At 48.4% G+C, this 22,035-nt stretch overlaps 1 protein-coding gene across 8 annotated transcripts in view, besides 2 other annotated features; it reads right to left on the minus strand.

The window, feature by feature from the left end:
- CDC42BPB (CDC42 binding protein kinase beta) overlaps positions 1 to 22,035 on the minus strand; it is a 125,170-nt gene that overhangs the window by 35,408 nt on the left and 67,727 nt on the right. For all 8 annotated transcript variants that reach the window (NM_001411054.1, NM_006035.4, XM_005268228.2 and 5 more), the window contains exons 6-16: positions 18,700 to 18,793; positions 15,769 to 15,969; positions 12,986 to 13,234; positions 10,339 to 10,418; positions 8,096 to 8,262; positions 7,897 to 8,016; positions 6,229 to 6,362; positions 4,132 to 4,374; positions 2,364 to 2,474; positions 685 to 929; positions 466 to 571 (exon numbers count right to left, since the gene is read on the minus strand). In NM_001411054.1, coding sequence (NP_001397983.1) covers positions 466 to 571; positions 685 to 929; positions 2,364 to 2,474; positions 4,132 to 4,374; positions 6,229 to 6,362; positions 7,897 to 8,016; positions 8,096 to 8,262; positions 10,339 to 10,418; positions 12,986 to 13,234; positions 15,769 to 15,969; positions 18,700 to 18,793 — 1,750 coding nt within the window. The remainder of the gene's footprint in view (positions 1 to 465; positions 572 to 684; positions 930 to 2,363; positions 2,475 to 4,131; positions 4,375 to 6,228; positions 6,363 to 7,896; positions 8,017 to 8,095; positions 8,263 to 10,338; positions 10,419 to 12,985; positions 13,235 to 15,768; positions 15,970 to 18,699; positions 18,794 to 22,035) is intronic.
- Positions 18,655 to 19,289: an enhancer, noted in NCBI's record as "H3K27ac-H3K4me1 hESC enhancer chr14:103452779-103453413 (GRCh37/hg19 assembly coordinates)". NCBI's record gives its function as "activates a minimal SCP1, AML or CMV promoter by ChIP-STARR-seq in naive H9 embryonic stem cells {active_cell/tissue: H9 hESC(naive)}" and the evidence as "EXISTENCE:reporter gene assay evidence [ECO:0000049][PMID:30033119]".
- Positions 19,290 to 19,923: an enhancer, noted in NCBI's record as "H3K27ac-H3K4me1 hESC enhancer chr14:103453414-103454047 (GRCh37/hg19 assembly coordinates)". NCBI's record gives its function as "activates a minimal SCP1, AML or CMV promoter by ChIP-STARR-seq in naive H9 embryonic stem cells {active_cell/tissue: H9 hESC(naive)}" and the evidence as "EXISTENCE:reporter gene assay evidence [ECO:0000049][PMID:30033119]".

The following is a 22,035-nucleotide window of genomic DNA, read 5'->3' on the forward strand; positions in this document are numbered from 1 at the left end:
CTGCACTGTAAAAAGACACCAAACTTCGGCCGGCGCAGTGGCTCATGCCTGTAATCCCAGCACTTTGGGAGGCTGAGGTGGGTGGATCATGAGGTCAGGAGATTGAGACCATCCTGGCTAACACGGTGAAAACCCGTCTCTACTAAAAATACAAAAACTTAGCCAGGCGTGGTGGCAGACGCCTGTAGTCCCAGCCACTTGGGAGGCTGAGGTGGGAGAATGGCATGAACCTGGGAGGCAGAGGTTGCAGTGAGCCAAGATCGCGTCACTGCACTCCAGCCTGAGCGACAGAGCGAGACTCCATCTCAAAAAAAAAAAACCAAACTTCCAAGACTCAAGAATGACGACATTCTACTCCCCCATAAATATATATACCTACTATGTACCCACACAAATTAAAAATAATTTTTTTTTAAATTACAACTTCCACACAAAGTGCTAACTCAGGTACTTTGAATTAATTACCTTTTCATTTTCAGCAGTTAGCTTCTTGTTTTCATCAAACAGCATCGCTCTTTCTCGTTCGTATTTATCTTTTATTGTACCTACTGCCTCCTCCATCTCGTTATGCCTGCCAAGGTGAGCGAGAAACAGTTTTAAAAGCTCGTAACTTCACTGATATTCGTATCTATGGCGTGGGTATCAGCTTGCATCTTCTGAACTGAGAAGCTCATGAAAACCTACCGTTCTCGCTTTGACTTTTCTAACTTATCTTTTAACATCAAGATTTCTTTCTGCAGGGCCAGCTGGTGGCTTTCTGAATCATGCACCTCCTTCTTCACATTTTTCACTTCTAGCACATGGGAGGCCTCACGTCTGACCAATTCCTCTTCATAAAATAAGACTTTCTTCTCCAGCTCGGATTTGATTTTGGAAATCTCTTGCTGGTGCTCTAAGGTGGCACCCGCTCCCCGGCCTCCTTGCTTCACCTGAAGACAAAGGTTAACATAAATTGACAAACCTCTGTGTCCTCAAGGGTCACACTGTCCTTTCAACCCCTTTCATCCCAAGCAAGTGCAGACACCTTCCCAAGGACTGTGTGTGCCTGGTCTACACCAGATGACGTAGCTGACCTGGCTAACGTGATCCAGGTTCTAGGGGGTCACAGCAGGAGACGGCCTTGCAGGGGGATGTGCCCAGGTCTGCCTGGGACCCCCGAAGCTCTGCCCCACACCCTGTTCATTCATGCTTGCAGCATTCTTCTGAGGGCTGACTCTGTGCTGGGCCCCCTCCTTGTGACTGGGGTGACACTGAGGTCTCTGCTCTCTTGGGGCTGGCGGGAACTGACAGCAAACCAGTAAAGGGGCAGAGGGGCCGTGCACCCCAGCCAGGTTGTAGGGAGTGGAGGGCGTGCCAGGATGGCTGGGGCGGCTTCTGTAAGGTGCTGGCCTATTAAGTGAGGTGTCAGGCTAGGGGCAAAGAACAAGGGCACAGGCTGGAGTGAGGTGGGACGTGTTGGCAGTGTTTGCAGCATGCAGAGAGGCCAGTGTGTCTGGTGTGGCGGGGCAAGGAGGGGCAGGAGAGGCACTGCTGGGCTGGAGCAGGCAGGAGGGTAGCTGCTGGACAGCTGCGGAGCCACGGAGGCCCTGCCGCACAGGAATGTGATCCGGCTTTGGTCTGCCAAGCTCACTCTGCCTGCTGTGCAGAGAGGAGACTCAAGGGCTGAGAAAGGGGCAGGAGCCTCGGGCACCACATGCCGAGGTCCAGCCAAGCCCGCTGCCAGGGAGGAACAGCATCTCAGGCCCACGTCCCAGAGGAAGAGTTGCCAGATCACTGAGGCGAAGGGAGAGGGCAGACCCATCGCACGCGGCTCACACATGAGGAGATCCAGGCCACGCCATACTGCCAAGGAGATCCGCCTCCGGCCCCTTGCCCACTTGGCCACTGTGGCCTTCCCCACTCCCGCCCTCCGCGGCCTCCCTGCTACCCTCCAGCCCCACCAGTGGGCCCCGACTGATGGCCAGCCTGTCTCTTCCCCAGTCAGCAGCAGGCTACGGGCTTTAAGGAGCTTTTCCAAAACTCAACTGCACCGAATTTAGAATACCACGATGTGAAGAAGGCTATGAATTGATGGGGCTGGAGTAGGAAATGAGCCAATTAGATATTCGTTTCCTAGGACTTACTGTGAATTGCCTGAAACTTTTATATAACAAAGGAAAAACATGAACTTGGCCTTTAAAAATGAAAGCAGTCACGAAGGCAGGGGTCACACCCCCCACCTCTCCACATGTGGGTCTTGTCTGAACAGCCTCGGGTGACACTCGGCCCGGACCACACATTACACAAGGTGACTTCCATGTGGTGGCGTCAGCAAAGATAAGCATCCCTCTCAGTTAAGGGCAGAGACCCCCGCCCAGCACTACCTTGAGGGCCTCCAGCTCGCTTTCCATTTGCTTGCAGAAGTTCTCGCTGTGCTCACGAAGCTTGCGCTCCTTGGAGGCCTCAGCAACAGCATCATCAAGCTGAGCTTCCAGCTACAAAAGGAAGATCCAGTTTCTATTAACAAAAAGCGAGCCCTGCTTCACCAGTTACAGCAGCACCCACGGGACCTCCACAAGAACAAGACCTCGAAGGAGCTCTGCGCGTGTTCACCCTTCATCAAATCTTATCACAAATTAAAGTTTGAGAAATACACTTCTGGGTTCAACTGGGATGGTTGGTTACTAATAAAACAAGGTTCAATTCTAGCTTAAATTGACACTTAAATTTCAAGAAAGGATACATTTCTTGAAATTTAAATTTCACTGATTCGTGAAAACCAGTACTTTTGATATCTGTAGAACTTGAATTCATTTATTAAATGGGCCATTTCAAACACGCACACGAAGAACGAGCAGAATAGCGAACACACGTGCCGGCACCCAGCTTCAACAGTGAGCTCCCGAGCCAAGCCCGCTTCATCTCTGCCTGTGCCCAAACCACTCGAGGGCAATCCCAGGCACTGTTATCACTTCCCCCATATGTGGAATGCTAATTCCTCATTAGGGGTATCACTAACTTCAGTTTTAACTGCCTGTAACTACAAATATATTTGGGTTGCAAAATAGACTAAGAAGAAAACAAACAGGTCCTCTGGGGCTAAAGAACAAAGAGCCCTGAACTTGAAAGGAACAGGAGCATGTGCTTCCAGGCCTTCTCATTTATGGGATTTATCAAGGAAATTTTAATAGAGTTCTAAACTAAGCATCGCTTACAATATGTCAACCATTCACAGCAGAACACTCAGAACACCCAGGGCGGCACAGGGCTGCAAACCCTGGGGTCCTGAGACATCAGGGGTGTGCAAGGCCCTTCCTTTCCTAATTAGCTATCTGTGGGGGCCAGGATTTCTTCATGTACTTTATCCAGAACGGTGTAGCAAAACGGATTGAAGAAACAGCCATGAGAACTCAACTGTTTTCCATTCAGCCAGATATTAAAGAACAGCTAACAAAATGTAAAAAATGCCATTCTTCCTGCCAAATTTTTAAAGAAATAGTTACTTTTCATTAAACATGTTACTTATGTTAACATGAAATGGGTTTTCATTGTATTAACAAGATTTTGTTTTAATTTCTGCCATGGTGCATGTTGAGAGCTGTAGCCTACATAAGAAAGCTCTTTGGGGTTGTAATCATTCCAACAGTGTCGAATGGTGCTGAGCCAAGACACTTCAGAAGCACTCACCTAAGCGGCGGCCTGAAGTGTGCTGAAGGGTTTTGCCATGTTGCTCAGGCTGGTCTCAAACTCCTAAACTCAACGATCCATCTATCTTGGCGCCTCCCACAGTGTTGGGATTCCAGGCGTGAGCCCCGTGCCCGGCCCGTGATTTGCCTTTCTACTGCCACCTGCCCTGTGTGGACTGCAGGTGTCTTATTCACATAAGCCAGGCTGCATCACAGCACAGCATAAACACCCTCTATTTACTTAAAAGGGAATTAAAGAAAATCAGCACCACAAGAACCTTATTGTAATTTCACCAATATTGAGGAATGAGAACAACAAAATAAATGCTCGGCCGATCAACTTACTTGGCTCCACAGAAAATTTCTGACCCCTTTTACAGTAATGCAGCCCAAGATTTCAAAGACGTTTTATAAAAGTCACACAAATGTCCAGTCGATACCATCCCTGAACCATCTCCACAGCTACCTCTTTCCTGAGCTTCTCAGCTCTCCGCATTTCCTGCCGCATGGCGTCCACCTTCTGCGTGGCCACCTCCATCTCCTCCTCCTTGTCTCGCAGCTGCCGGGACACCTTCTGCTTCTGGGCACGGAGCTCTGCCATGCGCTCGTTCAGCTCCGAGAACTCCTGCAGGGCCAGCTTTCGCTGCTGATGGGCATCTTTGAGTTCCTTGGCCTGGGATTTCAACCGCTCTGAGGCTTCAACCAGTTGCTGAACAAAAACAATTATAGATGTTTTACGTTTGCCTAACAAAGGCTTGGAAGGCTGGAGGTTCGGTCTTCCATGATATTGAGGAGTTAAAAGCGACAGCCAATGCTGGTTACAGATTAGAGCCACAGATCTGAGCTGCTTGGAAAAAGACCTGTGCTCTGTCTCGTGCCAGCCACACAGGCAATGGGAAGGCCGCCTGGGCTCAGGTGCTGAGACCAACTGCACACCAAGAAAGGCCCCACAGGCCGGGCACAGTGGCTCACACCTGTAACCCCAGCACTTTTGGAGGCCAAGGTGGGCGGGTCACCTGAGGTCAGGAGATCGAGACCATCCTGGCTAACACAGTGAAACCCCGTCTCTATTAAAAATACAAAAAAATTAGCTGGGCGTGGTGGTGGGTGCCTGTAGTCCCAGCTACTTGGGAAGCTGAGGCAGGAGAACGGTGTGAACCTGGGAGGCAGAGGTTGCAGTGAGCCGAGATTGTGCCACTGCACTCCAGGCTGGGCGACAGAGCAAGACTCTGCCTCAAAAAAAAAAAAAAAAAAAAAAAAAAAAAAAAAAAAAAAAAAAAAAAAAAAAAAAAGCCCCACAACCACATGGGGGCAGCGTGCTTACAGGAGGACGCTCCGTAATGTCAGCCTCTGCCCAGTGTCACCTGCACAGCCGCAAAGCTGAATGAAGCATTTGGGCACTCAATCTAGTTACTTAAACATAAGCAAAATCAAAAAGAACACATATGACACAAAGTGCTGAAGGTGAAGTCACAGTGAAGAACTGTATAAAAACAATCGCTGGACAGCCTGCCCTTCAATGCAGACTGATGTGCGGATACTGGCTGTCACTCTGCACTCACCACGCTGATGACCCTGACCTCCCTGCAGCCAATCTGGTCAACTATCTGGCAGTTCAGTCACTGTCACACCTGCTGGTCTGAGATGGAAGTGACAAGACCCTGAGCAAGCTGGCAGGGCAGCTCCCACACGTGAAGGGGAGGCCTCCCCAGGCCTCTCTGGGCCCGCTGGGAGGTACTATGACCCTGTCAAGCAATGAGATGCCATGTGCCCCACACTGCACTTCTAGACAAATCACTCACGTGGATGACCCACAGATTATCTTAAGAAACAATCTGGGTTTGATACCTGGCACATTTTAGAGAACAGATCACAAACTACAGGTTCAAGAATAACATGTATCAATGAATGTATTTTAGAAAACACGCATATAATTGTGTTAGTAACATGCTGACACCTGAGCATAAAAGTTTCCCATATATTACTAAAAATGAAATTTATAAACGAATTATGGGGGGAAATCACCCAGATTTTAACACAGGGTCTCTGCTGCAGTTCCCTGTCATTACTAAGGGTCCCCTTCTAAGAGCAGAGGCCTGGTGGAGAGAAGGGGAGGGCCTGGCTCGGGACGCAGCGTGTGTTGCCACAGCCACCATGCCCTATGCACAGCCACCATGCCCTGTGGACGGCCACCATGCCCTGTGCACGGCCACCATGCCCTATCGACATCTTTCCTCGCTTTAGAATGCAGTGGGGTGCTGCTTTCTCTGTGGGTCTGAAGTGGAGACTGGAGAGGCTGATTGCGAGGTGGATAACCGCTGGGGGCAAGGGGGTGGAAGGCACCTGCCACTGGGAGCCAAGCTCTGCCAGCCGACGCGGGGGCTGTGCAGCAGGCAGGCGTGGCAGGGGCCCCGGGGCCAGGCTTGGCCCTGGCGTCCTGCATGCAGCAGGGACAGCCCATGGGCAGGAGTCCCAAGAGGTCTTCCATCATCGGCATGAACGTGACCTTACAGAATTCTGCAAAGTCCCGTAAGCCTTTCTCACCCCAAACTGAGCCACCTACCTTGTGCAGCTCCTCCTTCTCCTGCCGGACCACGCGGTGCTGCTTCTCCAGCCCCCGCAGCCGCTGCGTGGAGTCCTCACGCTCTTGGCGAAGCGCCACTGTGTCCTCAAGCTGTCGCTCGAGCCTGTTTGAATCTGGACAAAAGAGGAAATAAACTCTGTTCCTTTATGTGCAATGACTATATGTAAACTTTATGTTAGCTGACTTACTGACAGGAAATTATTTAATAATTCACAACACTTTTTCATTCAGAGGTTTTTTTACTTACACACACACACACACACACACACACACACACACACACAGTGTCATAGGCACAGCTACCTGCATGCCTGTGCTGAACAGGCTCCCTAGACTTTACTCTGATCTGACAGCGATCTCCCCTGAGCACTGGGAGCCCTTGGGTGGCGCACACACTCGTCTGCTCAGTCCCTCTAACCTGTGTCACCCAGCACAGTGCCTGGCCCTTGTCCTTTCTCAGCGTGCAAGAAAAGTTTTAGTTAGTAAGTGACTCAATCAAAGAAGTCTGTTTTTGGATCAGGACAGTGGGGTTCCTGATAGGAAATGCAGAGAAGGTGAGATTCAAAGTGTGCTTTGGAGGTGAAGGTCAACTGCAGAGCCAACCTGTGTGAGGTTAAGGCTTAAAAGTGATTGGAGCCAGGCCAGGCGCAGCGGCTCACGCCTGTAATCCCAGCACTTCGGGAGGCCAAGGCAGGCGGATCACGAGGTCAGGAGATCGAGACCATCCTGGCTAACACAGTGAAATCCTGTCTCTATTTTGTAAAAATACAAAAAATTAGCCAGGCGTGGTGGGGGGCTACTTGGGAGGCTGAGACAGGAGAATGGCGTGAACCCAGGAGGCGGAGCTTGCAGTGAGCCGAGATCATGCCACTGCACTCCAGCCTGGGTGACAGAGTGAGACTCCGTCTCAAAAAACAAAAAAACAAAAAAACAAAAACTGATTGGAGCTTTTAGGGAACTTTGATAACCTAGGAACCGCCAAAAGAAAGTGGTGACAGCAGGTCTAGCACCTACAACACCAAGGAGCAGGCAGAGTCACTGATTAAGCTTTAGGAGGAAAGCAGCTCTAGGAACTGTCTGAAAGCCACAAAAAGGAAAACTGTAACAGAGAAGCAGAAAATAGCCAGAGAACGTACAGATAAAATATCAGGAACTGATTCTAGCTGGTGACTATAAAATAATATCATTAGAACTAAGCCAATTGGGGCTGGGCGCAGTGGCTCATGCTTGTAATTCCAGCACTTTGGGAAGCCAAGGCAGGCAGATCACCTGAGGTCAGGAGTTCGAGACCAGCCTGGCCAACATGGTGAAACCCTGTCTCTACTAAAAATACAAAATTAGCCGGGTGTGGTGGCACATGCCTGTAATCCCAGCTACTTGGGAGGCTGAGGCAAGAGAATCGCTTGAACCCAGGAGGTGGAGGTTTCAGTGAGCTGAGATCGCACCACTGCACTCCAGCCTGGGTGACAAAAGTGAAACTCCGTCTAAAAAAAAACAACTGACCAAAATTTGAGAACTCTAAATAAGCTTGCTAAAGCCTAAGCTTTTTTTCTGCTTTCCCACTTTATGAAAAGGACTCTGAAATTCCCTTTTAAGACAGTAATGACCAAAAATAGAGACTAAGAAGTCACACTTTTAAACACATACCTGCTATTTTATTCTTCAAGCGTTCGATTTCTTCATTTAGCTTTTTGATTTCTTTATCTCGGTTTGAATTGCTGAGGGCCCGAGATGAGCCGTGGAGGGACTGCACGGTCTGGGTGGACTCTGAGGGATGGAGAGACAGCGTGAGGTGCAGCCTGGCCGCAGCGCCCCCGCCTGGCCCCGGAGCCGGCGCTGCCCTCACCTTGCAGCTTCCTGCTCAGCTCCAGCTTCTCCTGTTCCAGCCTCCGAATCCTCCTCTCGTAAGCTTCCATCTGCAGGCTGTGCTCCAGGTCCCGCTGCACATCCTCATCTTTGGTTAATGTGTTGGACTGCATTATGCTCTTCAGAGAGCCTCGATCAGAAAAACAGCTGGGAAACCAAGCAACAGGTTTTTTTGATCTACTGAAAATTTAGCGATTTCATTAGCATTTTCAATCTTCCTGAGGTGAAAGATAGTCTTTTTAAATCAGCAAACAAAAACACCTGAGATAAGACTTTATGGTTTATGGAACCAAAGTTAGACAAGTGACCAGATGGTCAAGGAGACACTGACAAGGGCCCTCCCCATCGCTGGTCAAAGAAAGCGCCTCTGCAAAGGAGGGGAAATGGCATTTCTAAATCATCCCCCACACTTAACTATAAATGCAAAACCAGAAGGCATGGATCCTGCGTAAAGCAAGGCTTAGGGGGCAGCCCCAGCTCGTCTGCAGGTCAGCGGTACGCATGGACCACTGAAAGCTTCCTGGTTTGGCCACCAACTGGCCAAGCAATCCAGGACAGCTCTTTCAACTCTTCTTCCCCTGCAGGCTAAGCCACCAATTCTAGCACTGACCAGCACACTAAGCCCCTTACCAAGGACCAGACCACTCGATGACGCACACAGCCGAGGCACAGGCTGAAGCCCAGGATGGCTCTCATTTAATAGCTTAATTCTTGGGCTGCTTTAGGAGTTACTTAGTTCTGCTTAGCTCTTTATGTGACAATGAAGTCAGGGAAATTTTGAGCTCCTACGCAGAGTTCCATAAAGGCACCCAGCCCCCTTTAGAGAAGACCTGGTCAGTGTTTCTCCACAGGTGGTCTGAGGGTGCTGGGCTGCTCCAGCCCTGCGGGATCTGTCAAGAGGAGAGCTCTAGGCCTATCTGGCCAAACTACAGCCATGGGCTTGGGACCTGCAAGTGTGACAAGCATTTGGTGAGCTGGCATGTATTAGAAAGATCAAGAACCTCTGCACTGGGGGCTGGTAAATCAATATGCCCACCCAGAAAGCCTCCTGTGGGCTGGAAGACAGCAGCTGCCACTTTGGCTTATGGGCTGTTTAACCCTGGCCTCTCACACCAAAAGAGATTTCTTCCAAGCTCGAGCAGAAGTATGGGGATATCAGCCGGGCGCGGTGGCTCACGCCTGTAATCCTGACACTTTGGGAGGCCGAGGCGGGGAGATCACGAGGTCAGGAGATCGAGACCATCTGGCCAATATGGTGAAACCCTCTCTCTACTAAAATAAAAAAAATTAGTCGGGCGTGGTGGCGGGCGCCTGTAGTCCCAGCTACTCAGGAGGCTGCGGCAGGGGAATCGCTTGAACCCGGGAGGCAGAAGTTGCAGTAAGCTGAGATCGTGCCTCTGCACTCCAGCCTGGGCGACAGAGCGAGACTCCGTCTCCAAAAAAAAAAAAAAAAAAAAAAGAAGCATGGGGATATCTCCCTCCCAAGACATTTTCAACTGTGGTTCCAGCTGCCAGAGGACGCCAGGAATCAGATTCTGTGGCACAGTGGGAGCTTCCATTGTCTCATTTCACCTCTCTTTCTTCCTAACCCCTCTCCTCTTGGCCCCAGTTTCCTTTTAAAATCGAGGTGGACCATCTCAGGCGACACAACTTTGCAAAGAGGCCCATTTGGGACAGGGGCCCACAACACACAATCCTTACAAAAGCCAGCAGAGTGCTCTGATGGAAGCCAGCTCTCAGCTGAGTGCGCATGGCAACTGCTCTGCTTGCTGTGGCCACCGACTGGATCAGAGCTAACCCTGCCAATGCTGGCGGCCTATTGGTCAGGGGTTGGCAAACTACGGCCTCTGGGAGAAATCTCACCCCCCTGGCCTCTGGGAGAAATCCTGCCCGAGGCCTGTTTCTGCACCATCACGAGCATGAATGGTTTTAACATTTTTAAAGGGTTGTAAAAAGAAGAACATACAACAAAGGCCATGAAACCTGAATTCTTTACGACCTGGATATCTGTAGAGAAAAAGCCTGCAACCTTGCTATGGTATCACCTGTAGTCATCAGGTGTGCATATTTTAAGACCAAAAACCCATCTCCATCTCCCTTAAGTAATGGCCTCCCAGCGCACACACCACCCACTAGCCCGCCCCCAGGGACAGACTGTGGTGTCTGACTGTTCATCTACCACAGGGGAAGTGTCTCCCTGGGGAATGATAAATCCAGACATACCTTTCCGTTGTGAATGTAAAACCAATGAATGGCAAATGTAATCCAGAAAAGCCTGTGTGAGAACCAGGAGGTAATATTTCCTGCATAAGAACATATACAACACAAATGAAATCTACATTCAAACAAACAGGTAAAAAGAGGAAAGATGGTTACAGTCATGGTGACAGGAGGCACTGGGCAGAACATGTGGCCTTGGAGAATGCGGATTCCATGGTGTCCTCTGCAGGGGAGATGAGTATAGCAGATCTGTCTTTCTCAAGCCTGGCCCTGTACGCTGTATGTACAATAAAGCTCACAGGAGACACACTCTGATTTCGATGATGACAGTGGCACAGGCCGTCACCAGGTTAGTGATTTTCAAAGACTTCTTAAAGCCACAGAATTCACTGCTTAACACAACTGTGTGCAGAGTCCAACAGTGTGAACAGGTATGGTCCCTCTGAGGACCCCGGACAGAGCCTGGGGACTCTCAGGTTCTTGACCTAAGACAAGAGGCCCCAAGGCAAAAAGGAACCCAAAGGTAGATTATTTTAGATAAGTTTATTATAACTCTATTTTTCATTCTGAGGATCTTTCTTTATTAAAAACTATAACCAGGGGCCAGGCACAGTGGCTCACGCCTGTAGTCCCAGCAATTTGGGAGGCTGAGGTGGGTGGCTTGCTTGAGACCAGGAGTTCAAGATCAGCCTAGGCCAACATGGTGAAACCCCGTCTCTACTAAAAATACAAAAATTAGCTGGATGTGGCAGCACGTGCCTGTAATCCCAGCTACTCAAGAGGCCGAGGCACGAGACTTGATTGAATATGGGAGGCTGAGGTTGCAGTGAGCTGAGGTTGTATCACTGTATTCCAGCCTGGGTGACAGAAGGAGATCAGTCTCAAAAAATAAAAAATATAAGCAAAGTTCTTTATCTGGGAAATTTCAGTGTGGAAGGAGTTGGAGTCTGGAGTCAGAGTCTAGGACAACAATCCTTTCAACAATGACAATACTTTTCTCAGCATTTTCTCCATGTGGTCTGAAGTTCAGCCTTTATTTTGAATGTGAAGCCATCAAAGCAAGTATTCGGTGCAAATAGATTTAACTTTTCTTGTTTTTTTTTTTTTTTGAGATGGACTCTCGCTCTGTCACCCAGGCCGGAGTGCAGTGGCGTATTCTCAGGCACTGCAACTTCCACCTCTTGGGTTCAAGTGATTCTCCTGCCTCAGCCTCCCAAGTAGCTGGATTACAGGCACCCGCTATCATGCCCGGCTAATTTTTGTATTTTTAGTAGAGACGGGGTTTCACCATGTTGGCTAGGCTGGTCTCGAAATCCTGACCTCAGGTGATCCGCCCACCTCAGCCTCCCAAAGTTCTGGGACTACAGGGGTGACTCGCCGCACCCGGCCCAGATTTACCTTTTCCATGACCCTACAAGGGGTACTTCATAGTTTCTAAGAACCTCTGCTCCTCCCACTAAACTACTAGGAGTTTCCCCAGGTTCATGGTCATTCATTTCCAGAGGTCCTGGGGATGAAACATACAGAGTGAATGATGATGCTTCGGTGTAAGAAACTCTCTAAATTAATAAGCAACGAAGAAGATTTTCCTTTTATTTGGTTAAACCTCAGCTTGTCTATCCCCAAACGAAGTCACACATGTATGGGTTTGATGAGAACAAAAGAATTTTACGAGATATGAGCAAAATTCTCCAGGACCAAAGGTACTGGCTAGTGTGTCAAAGAGGCCCTGTCAGAGCCGACTGGAACACCAAACAAGTCCCACAGCTGGAACCCAACTCGGAAAATCCTGATCTTAAACATCAGTGCGGAGACTCAAAATCTGCTATTATCATCTTTATTCTGAACTCTTGCTGTATAAAGAAACACCAATGCAGACACAAAGCGCTGTAATGTTAGAAAGATTTAACGTGCTCTCACATGTAGGGAAAAGACCAGTAACTGAGAGGCCGCCACACTGCCTATGGGACTGTAGGCTAAGCCCATGTCTTGGTGTCTTTCAACCTAAAAAACCTAAAATGTGGTGACAGGGTCACAGTGAAGCTCTAATACAATGATGTATGTGACACTGCTTTGAAAAGTATCAAGTAGGCTGGGCGCGATGGCTCACGCCTATAATCCCAGCACTTTGGGAGGCAGAGGTGGGCGGATCATGTGGTCAGGAGATCGAGACTATCCTGGCCAACATGGTGAAACCCCGTCTCTACTATAAATACAAAAATTAGCTGGGCATGGTGGCGCATGCCTGTAATCTCAGCTACTCGGGAGGCTGAGGCAGGAGAATGGCTTGAAACAGGGAGTCAGAGGTTGCAGTGAGCTGAGATTGCACCACTGCACTCCAGCCTGGCGACAGAGCAAGACTGTCTCAAAAAAAAAAAGTATCAAGTACTGTGAAAATAAAAGCAAAAGTATTTCTGTTGAGTTGCAAAACAAATGAGCTGTTTAACTGAATTTTACTCAAATTGAGTCATCCATCATTTTTTAAAGGAATATTAAGGACCCAGCTGAAGGCTGGAATAAAAAGCACACTGTCTTAAGTGCCAAATTTCACAGCTTTATGGTGTACTGACTTGATAAGCAACGCCCTCAACACAGCACTGCATGTCAGACCCACAGCCAGCAACCCTGAGAACGGTGCTTTCACACTCACCGTGTTTCTCAGCACGTCGTCATCCACGTCGAAGTTGGATGTGTCAGAGGGACTGCTCACATCAGGAATATAAGGTGCTTCTAGGTTTCGTATATTTTCCCAATTTAGACCTTCAAAAAACGCATGCTTTTTGAAATCCTCTATTCCATTCTGCCCCAGCCGGCGTTCTCTACTGCAGATCAGTCTCTGGATGAGGTCCTTCGCTTCTTCAGATACATCCGTGACATGGGATGGGAACTGGAATCGCTCCTGCAAGGGGTGGCAAAAACACCGGTGGACAGGTGGACGCATTCAGAGAGTTTAAGGTGTACAGATATGATAGGAAACAAAGTAGAAATGGTAGCTTCAAAGCAGGTCACTTCATGGGAACTAAATGCAATCCAAAGCTAATAAATTTCCATTCCCAAAAGGCAAACAAGAAAACCAGTGGTCCTTCTGGTTTTACTCATTGTAGACTTGTGACCACACTGCATGTAAATGACACATTTTACCTATGGAAGTGGCAAGGAATGTGGGAAACATGCCGTGCGCGGGAAGAGGGACAGGCGCAGCCCCGTCAGAATGCACAGTGCACGCGTCACGGCAGCTCCGCTTCTGGAAACTCACACTAAAAAAGCAGTTACTAAGAGGAAACACAACATGCTCAGGACTGCACTGTATTTTGACCAAGAAAACTGCAAATTACCTACATGCCCATCAAAAAAGAGACTCGTTAAAAAAGATACCGGCTGGGCACAGTGACTCACGCCTGTAATCCCAGCACTTTGGGAGGCCGAGGTGGGCAGATCACCTGAGGTCAGGAGTTCCAGACCAGCCTGACCAACAAGGTGAAACCCTGTCTCTACTAAAAATACAAAAATTACCGGGCGTGGTGGCGGCCTGTAATCCCAGCTACCTGGGAGGCTGAGGCACGAGAATCGCTTAAACTCGGGAGGTGCAAGTTGCAGTGAGCCAAGATCGTGCCACTGCACTCCAGCCTGGGTGACAAGAGCGAGATTCCAGCTCAAAACAAAAAAGATGGGGCACAAAGAAAAAGGAACATGTCTGTGTGCTGCTATAGAAAGACACCACAGATACAATGACAAAAAACTGTTGATATGTAACATGATGCCACGTATCTAAACACACACATGCGCACGCACACACACGAGCTGAGGTCTGCCGAGGCCACACACCCTCATGGTAGAGTGGGCTGAGAGCTGAGCCACCACCTCTGTCATCTACAGAAAGGAAGAACAATGTCACCTGCTTCACGGAGTGCCTGACCCAAGAGCCCACAGGTGGTCGGCACTCAGTGACTGCTGGCAGGCTCTTAGTAATAACGAAGTCCCAGTTGTTACTTTAACAGAATTTGTCACTAAGAAGTGGATGAGACAATTTTCATTATCTACAATATGCATTTTTGCATTGTCTGAAGTTTTTATAGGGGGTATATATTAATTTACAAATAAAAATATGCTTCTACTTTGGGAAAAACGTTTTTTAAAACTGTAACTTTTGCTTTGCTTTGGAGTTAAATGGAAAACCAGTTCCCGCTTCAGTGTTAATCTGCTCCCTGTGAGAGCGAACTGTGGGAGGCCCTGGCTGGAGGACAGGCCAGCACTCAATCAGGATCATTCTGGGATCTGTCATGTGCACAGGAGACAGCGGGGAGGGAAATGCTATGAGCACGCTGGTAGAGAGGGTGAAATCGGCATTAGGAAGACACATGACTGACTGGGTGCGATGGCTCACGCCTGTAATCCCAGCACTTTGGGAGGCCAAGGTGGGTGGATTGCCTGAAGTCAGGAGTTTGAGACCAGCTTTGCTAACATGGTGAAACCCTGTCTCTACTACTAATACAAAAAAATTAGCCAGGTGTTGTGGCAGGCACCTATAATCCCAGCTACTCAGGAAACTGAGGCAGGAGAATCGCTTGAACCTGGGAGGCATAGCTGAGATTGCACCATTGCACTCCAGCCTGGGCGACAAGAGCGAAACTCCGTCTCAAAAAAAAAGATAAAAAGACAGGCAGGAGAATCGCTTGAACTCGGGAGGCAGAGGTTGCAGTGAGCCGAGACTGCGCCACTGTACTCCAGCCTGGGCGACAGAGTGAGACTCCATCTCAAAAAAGAAAGACACATGACTAAGGAAAATTTTTAAAAAGAAATAAAAAATATCAGACAGAAGAGAAAATGATAAAAAGGAAAACAAAGGAGGTGGAGAGAGGTGACATGGAAGTGAGAAAGTGAACAGTTCGGAAAGGGAAGGAGGAAAAGAGGAAACAGGATGGGGAGGATGAAGGGCTCCACCATCTGGAGACACATGATCATTTACAGGGACTGATTTCTGGGGAACAGACTTGAGAATCAAAGTTGGCACCTAACCAGTGAATCTAGAGCCACAGGTCAAAGGGCCCACCTGGACCTCCCCACTGGCTACCCCCGGGCGCCTCACTCCATGCGCCTGTGCAGACGACGCGTCTGTCTACAGAAACCTGCCTTCCCTCCAGGAAGCCAGCTTGGAGCAGGCCAGCGTCCTTCCCCTGAGAGTGGGGGTGGGGGTCACCCTCAGAACCTCCTTCCCCTTCCTCTGGCGCCCACATCTCCTGGTGCCGACCCCGCCTCTGGATGCCCTCTCCAATGTCTACTCCAATCTGCCTGTCCCCAGTTTGGTCCAAACCCCGTCACCTCTTCCTCAACTACTCGCGTTGCTTCCTAACGGATCTTCCTGCACTAGTTGTGCTCTCTGTACTTTAGGCCTGAGCCAGGTACCAAAAAAAAAAAAAAAATGCAACGTCTTACTTCATGGTTCATGATCTTCCCATAGGTCTCCACGAGTGACTCCGCATAAAACGGCGTTTCTCCATAGAGCATCTCATACATGCAGACACCCAGAGACCACCAGTCACACTCAGGCCCGTATTTGCCCATGCCGTCCTCCATCGCCTGCAGGATCTCCGGCGAGATGTAGTCAGGTGTGCCCACGGCCACGGAGGACTGCACCTTAGGGGAGAAGGAGGTGCTGAAGGAAACCCTAGGGCATCTCCAATCACATATTTCCAACTACTTTCTCTAAAATATAGCGGAGGCAGAAAATGAAATAATCATAGAATAAAACTGATGAATGATCGTGTTTTTTAAACCCAGTAATTCAAGCTGAGTATAGTGCCTCGAGCCTGTAGCCTCAGCTACTTGGGAGGCTGAGGCCGGAGAACCGCTTGAGCCCAGGAGCTCAAGGCCAACACGGGCAACATGGTCCCCAACCCTGTCTCTAACGAAACAAAACGGAATTTAAAAACCTCAATAATGCAAAATTCAATGCAAATAAATATCCTTTTGAAGCACTAAACATTATGCGGCTCCCAGAATGCATGAAACTCTTGTACACATGGTCTGTCAATACCCAAATACCAGCCACAGCCCCAAACAGTGCCTCTCCAATCCCCCAGGGTTGGCATTTCCCACTCTCTGTCACTGCTCCCAGTGTGATGCAGGGGCCACATGTGCACAGGCCAGCCTTTCTGATTTTCATGTGCAGCACGCAGGGAGTCTTGTGTAGGGTCTGTTTTTAGAATAAAGACTCCAGTGGGGCACAAGAGGCTGCATTTCTAATAAGCTTCTGGGGGTACTAAGGCTGCTCACCTGCAGCCGACCCTGTGGTCTTCCTCATGGGAACATGCAGAAGTTGGTCCAGGCATTAGCCGGGTGCTCAGGCATTCCCTGGACAGCGCACCAGGAGGCTAAGACCGCTCCTACCCCCGCAAGGGAGAAAACAGCTCCCCTGCTATCTACATCAGCAGGCAGGTGCCAGAGTACAGTGACACCTCTGCAGAAAGCTGCGAGGGCACGGGCCACCTCAGAGCAAGCGGGAGGAGCCTGGTGAAGCTGAGAAATCATCCAAGCAGAGAGAACGATGGAGAGTATAGGGCCATCCTGACGGGCTGAGTCTCTAAGACTGAGGCTCAGGCAGGAACTGGAGACAACAACCACAGGCCTGTCTGGGGAAGGCCAGGCTCTCCCGAGGGTCCCCTCTGGGAAGAGAGACACAGGGTCCAAGCAGCACCCCAGAGCCAGTGGTGTGAGAACTGCTCAGGCTGAATGGATCAGCAGAGAACTCCACCTCTATCACTTCCCTGCACGAGTGCGTGGCCAGCCCACAGGAGCTCCTACAGACAGCGGGACCACTGGGGTGTTGGGCGGTGACTCCACGATGAACAACTACTGTGACGGGGTGGAGTGGAGGTGAGGAGGGTAACCCATGCTCTGGTTAAACCATGACGGGGTGGTGTGGAGGTGAGGAGGGTAACCCATGCTCTGGTTATACCATGACGGGGTGGTGTGGAGGTGAGGAGGGTAACCCATGTTCTGGTTATACCGTGACAGGGTGGTGTGGAGGTCAGGAGGGTAACCCATGCTCTGGTTATACTGTGACAGGGTGGTGTGGAGGTGTGGAGGGTAACCCATGCTCTGGTTAAACCATGACGGGGTGGTGTGGAGGTGAGGAGGGTAACCCATGTTCTGGTTATACCATGACGGGGTGGTATGGAGGTGAGGAGGGTAACCCATGTTCTGGTTATACCGTGACAGGGTGGTGTGGAGGTGAGGAGGGTAACCCATGCTCTTGTTATACCGTGACAGGGTGGTGTGGAGGTCAGGAGGGTAACCCATGCTCTGGTTATACTGTGACAGGGTGGTGTGGAGGTGTGGAGGGTAACCCATGTTCTGGTTCAGACCTGTTCTAGTCACTGGAAGACTGGAGTGGAGGACAGCACCCGCCTACCAATTAATCAATATGTGGTCAAGACTATTAAAAACAAGAGACTGGCTTTGTGGAATGAAAATGAGCAAACTGCTTTATTTCTTATAAAACGCTGTCAACTGAAGCCAGTCACATGGGTGCTTCCACTACTGCTTGAAAATCCGCCAGTAGGCAAGAAAGGGATTGCTCTCTCGGAAAACTATTTGATGTTAGACCTTATGATAAGTGTAGGTTTCAAAAAAGAAAAGACTCCAAACATGTAAGAACAAAACTGCAACAGTGGCCACAGACGCAGTGAAAGCAGTTTGCTGCAAGCAGCTGCCAACAGGGTGTGAGCAGAGCTGGGACTGCCCCCATCAGGCTACTCGGCCATGACGCTGGTCTGACTGCGGGGTGGAGACCACAGGGCCTGTGGCCTGAGCCTGGGTCTCCTGGTGATAGCCGATCCGGGGGCAACCTCCTGTTCTTTCCCTGCTGGCGGGAGTGTCAGCTGGCCCCGTAACACTGAGCACCTAGGACTCTATTTCTAGGTCTACAACACCCATAGAGAGGAAACCCCTAGCAGGAAGTTACCTGCCCCAACACAAGTGAGAAAGTACAGTTACATGGTTAATGCCTGCCCACCCGACCAGCCTGGACAGGGCCCTTTAAGGAAGAAGCAGGGAGCGCCCTCGATCTGCTACAGGGCTGGCATGCTTTTAGCCACCTTGGGATTGAGGAAACCTGACAACTCCCATTCTGGAAGGCACACATATTACTTTTGTAAACATAAAAAGCAATAAAGATGCTTTCCAACTTAATTTTTATTTGGGAAACAAAACTCCCCAAACAGAAAATTTCAACTATCTCCAAAATGGATTCATTTTCTGAATTAATATACTTGGTTTCTTAATTGTACCTCAAATTGAAAACTTCCCTTCTGACTATATGCCAAACCCAAAACCAAATGGAAAATCTCCAACAAAAATACCTACAGTGCCATCATCATTCATCTTCAAACATGATCCAAAGTCAGCCAGGCGGATATGACCATTCACGTCCAAAAGGACATTGTCAGGTTTAATGTCTCTGTTTGTAAAATAAACACACAAATTAACCATCTCCATGCAACACATTAGGTAGATCAAAGCCCTTAACTAGTGGTGATCAGATGAATAAATGCTAATATCCTCTTGTGAACAGCTGTCACCATCCAGTACAAATGCCTCTGTGTGACATTCAGCTGGCATGGTGGCAGCCGAAGTCGTATCACTGCCCCTCGTTTAGTCCCCAGTTACCCTGGCGAGGCCCTGTGACGATTCCTACTCGTCTGCCCACCCAGCTAACGAGCCCCTCCTGAGCATCTCCTTGGTGCCAGGCACTGCTCTCCAGCCCACCCACCTATGCACGTGACAACGCTGCCCCTGCCTTCATGAAGCCTGCACACGAGCTGAGGTCTTGCAAACACAAATAGGCACTGCTGTCTCAGGCAGGCTCACACGGTGCAAGCTCTGTGCTGAGTACCACGGAAAACAGGAATGGGACAAAGGGACAGAGGGACACGTGTGGAGGAAGCTGGCTGGGGGCTGCCACACAAAGAGACGGCAGTGGCCAGACGAGGTCCAGGAGGCAGGTGGCGATCTGGGGGAAGACTGCTGCAAACCGCCCCATACCCCCAAAACTGCACTTTATAGATGAAGACATGGAAGCTGAGCCAACTGCCCACAGTTACAGAGCAGCACGTGCTGGAGCAGGAACATAAACACAGGTCTGTCCCACTAACGCCTGTTTCTAAACTACTTTCTGTGCGCTCTCAAACACATGTGCGGGTGCAGGGCACCTCAGAGCATGAATGCTTTTTTCTGGCACAATAAGCTTACATGACTCAACAGTATGAATGCAAACAAACTTTAAAAACAAAGACAGACATTCAGCAAAAGACAAGTACAAGCATGTTCCCAGCGGCACCACTTCTAACAGCCAAAAGGCAGAAACAATCTAAATCTCTGCCTCCAAGAGAATGGGTGAGTAAGCTGGGCTATACTCGTGTGATAGACACCACACCCCAATGAAAACAGACGGGTACCAACTCCCCCAGCCACATGAATCAATCTCACACAAACATGGGCAGATGATAATTCTTACCTCAAAACCAGAAACAAAACACAAAACCAGAAACAAAAACACAAGGCAAAAGAAACTCTAGCATGTAACACTCCAAACTAAAATAAAATATCCTCAAATAAACATTCAGGAATACGAAAAAGAAAACAAAACAAAATCCCACAAACACACAAACACACACACACACACACACACACACACACACACACGGCCAGGTGCAGTGGCTCACAAACTATAATCTCAGCACTTTGGGAGGCTGAGGCAAGAGAATTGCTTGAACCTTGGGAGGCAGAGGCTGTAGTGAGCTGTGATTGCGCCACTGCACTCCAGCCTGGGCGACAGAGCAAGACCCTGTCTCAAAACACAAAAACACACGTACACACACAAACACACACGCACGCACTAGACAAAAGCATGCAGAAAAGAAGAGCTGATTTAACTCAGGGAAGAAATAGAAGAAACAGATAAAATCTTATCAGAAATGAAATTATAAGAGGACCAAACAAGAACAAATTGAAACAAAAATCTAATGAAAAATTGAAGAAAGGGAAGAAAAGATCTAGAAGAATAAAATGAGGTAAAGAAACAAGGAAACGCAGTCAGATAGGAAGCAGCCAGAGGCTAAAGTGGGAGACAGGCAAAGAAGGCCCAACAGATGCATAACTGGAGTCCCTGAAAGAAATCAAAACAAAACATGACTAACATTTGACTACAATCCAACAGAACTTTCCAGAAATTAAAAAAAAAAAAAAAAATACCTGAATCTAGAATGAGAGGGCCCATAAGATTAAAAAAAAGAAAATATCAATGTCCTCTTTTTTGAAGCCAGCCAAGTTGATATTGATGCTCATATGAAAAGAAAAGCCAGAAAAACCCTGAAGAGTGAGCTGTGATGAGGATCAGGCCCAGATGATTTCAAAACACACTACACAGCCTCCCTAATTAAAGCAGTGTGGTGCTAGTGTGTGCAGAGGCAGAGAGAAAATGGAATAGAGTAGAATGTCTAGAAACAAACCAACTACATAAAGAAATCAAGTACAGGACAAAGATAATACGAATCACTGGGGTAAAGATAGACTTAAATAAATTGGTGTTGTGACAACTGGAGAGCCATTTAAAGATAAAATTAGAACTCTTCCTTGTGCCGTATATAAGAATAAACCTGAAATGGACCCAAGATCCACATGGAACAGATGAACCTATATGAATGAAAAAGTAAAAATACTAAAAAACAAAACAAAACAACCCCCCCTTCCAAAAAAAAAAAAAAAACAAACAAACCAACACGTGGGTTTTCTTTTTCTGGGAGTAAGGATTTCTCATTCGATTATGTACAAAAATGTTTAAAAATCTGTGTGGCAAAAAACCACAATGAACCACATCAAAAAACAAATGGCAAATTGGGGAAAAATATTTGTAATATATATTACAGATAAAAGGCAAATACTTCTTTAAGAATTGGGGGAAAAAAGCCAGAAATCCATAATAAAAGGGTAAAACCAATGAAAAAACTCACATACACACACACAAAAATACAAACATGATGGTCAACATCACGAGAAAGGTGAAAAAGAAAACTACAATTGTGTACCACCTGTCACCCATCAGAGGGCAAAAATACAAAAGTCTGAAAATGCACGGTTGGCAAAGCTGCAAGGAAACAGGCACTTTCATCCACTGCTGGTGGGAATACAAATTGGTAATGTCTATGGAGGGAAACTTACAACATCAAATAAACCTACGTATGTAATTTATTTCTCTCTTGATCCAGCAACCCCACTTGTAGAGATTTACCCTGAAGGCACACAACCAAAACAAAAACCACCTTGCACAAGGGTATTTATTTCTACATTTATAATTGCAAAATATTGGAAACTATCTAAATGTCCACTCTTAGGAGACTACTTGAATAAACTATGGTAGTTACCTATGGTAGTTCGCAGTATTATGCAAACATAAAAAAGAATGAAGAGCAGGCCGGGTGCGATGGCTCACGCCTGTAATCCCAACACTTTGGGAGGCTGAGGTGGAAGGATCGCCTGAGGTTGGGAGTTTGAGACCAGCCTCACCAACATGGAGTACCCTGTCTTTATTAAAAATACAAAATTAGCTGGGAGTGGTGGCGGGCGGCTACTCAGGAGGCTGAGGCAGGAGAATCACTTGAACCCAGGAGGCAGAGGTTGCAGTGAGCCGAGATCGCACCACTG

Source organism: Homo sapiens, chromosome 14 (assembly GCF_000001405.40).
Source record: "Homo sapiens chromosome 14, GRCh38.p14 Primary Assembly".
Lineage (NCBI taxonomy): Eukaryota > Metazoa > Chordata > Mammalia > Primates > Hominidae > Homo > Homo sapiens.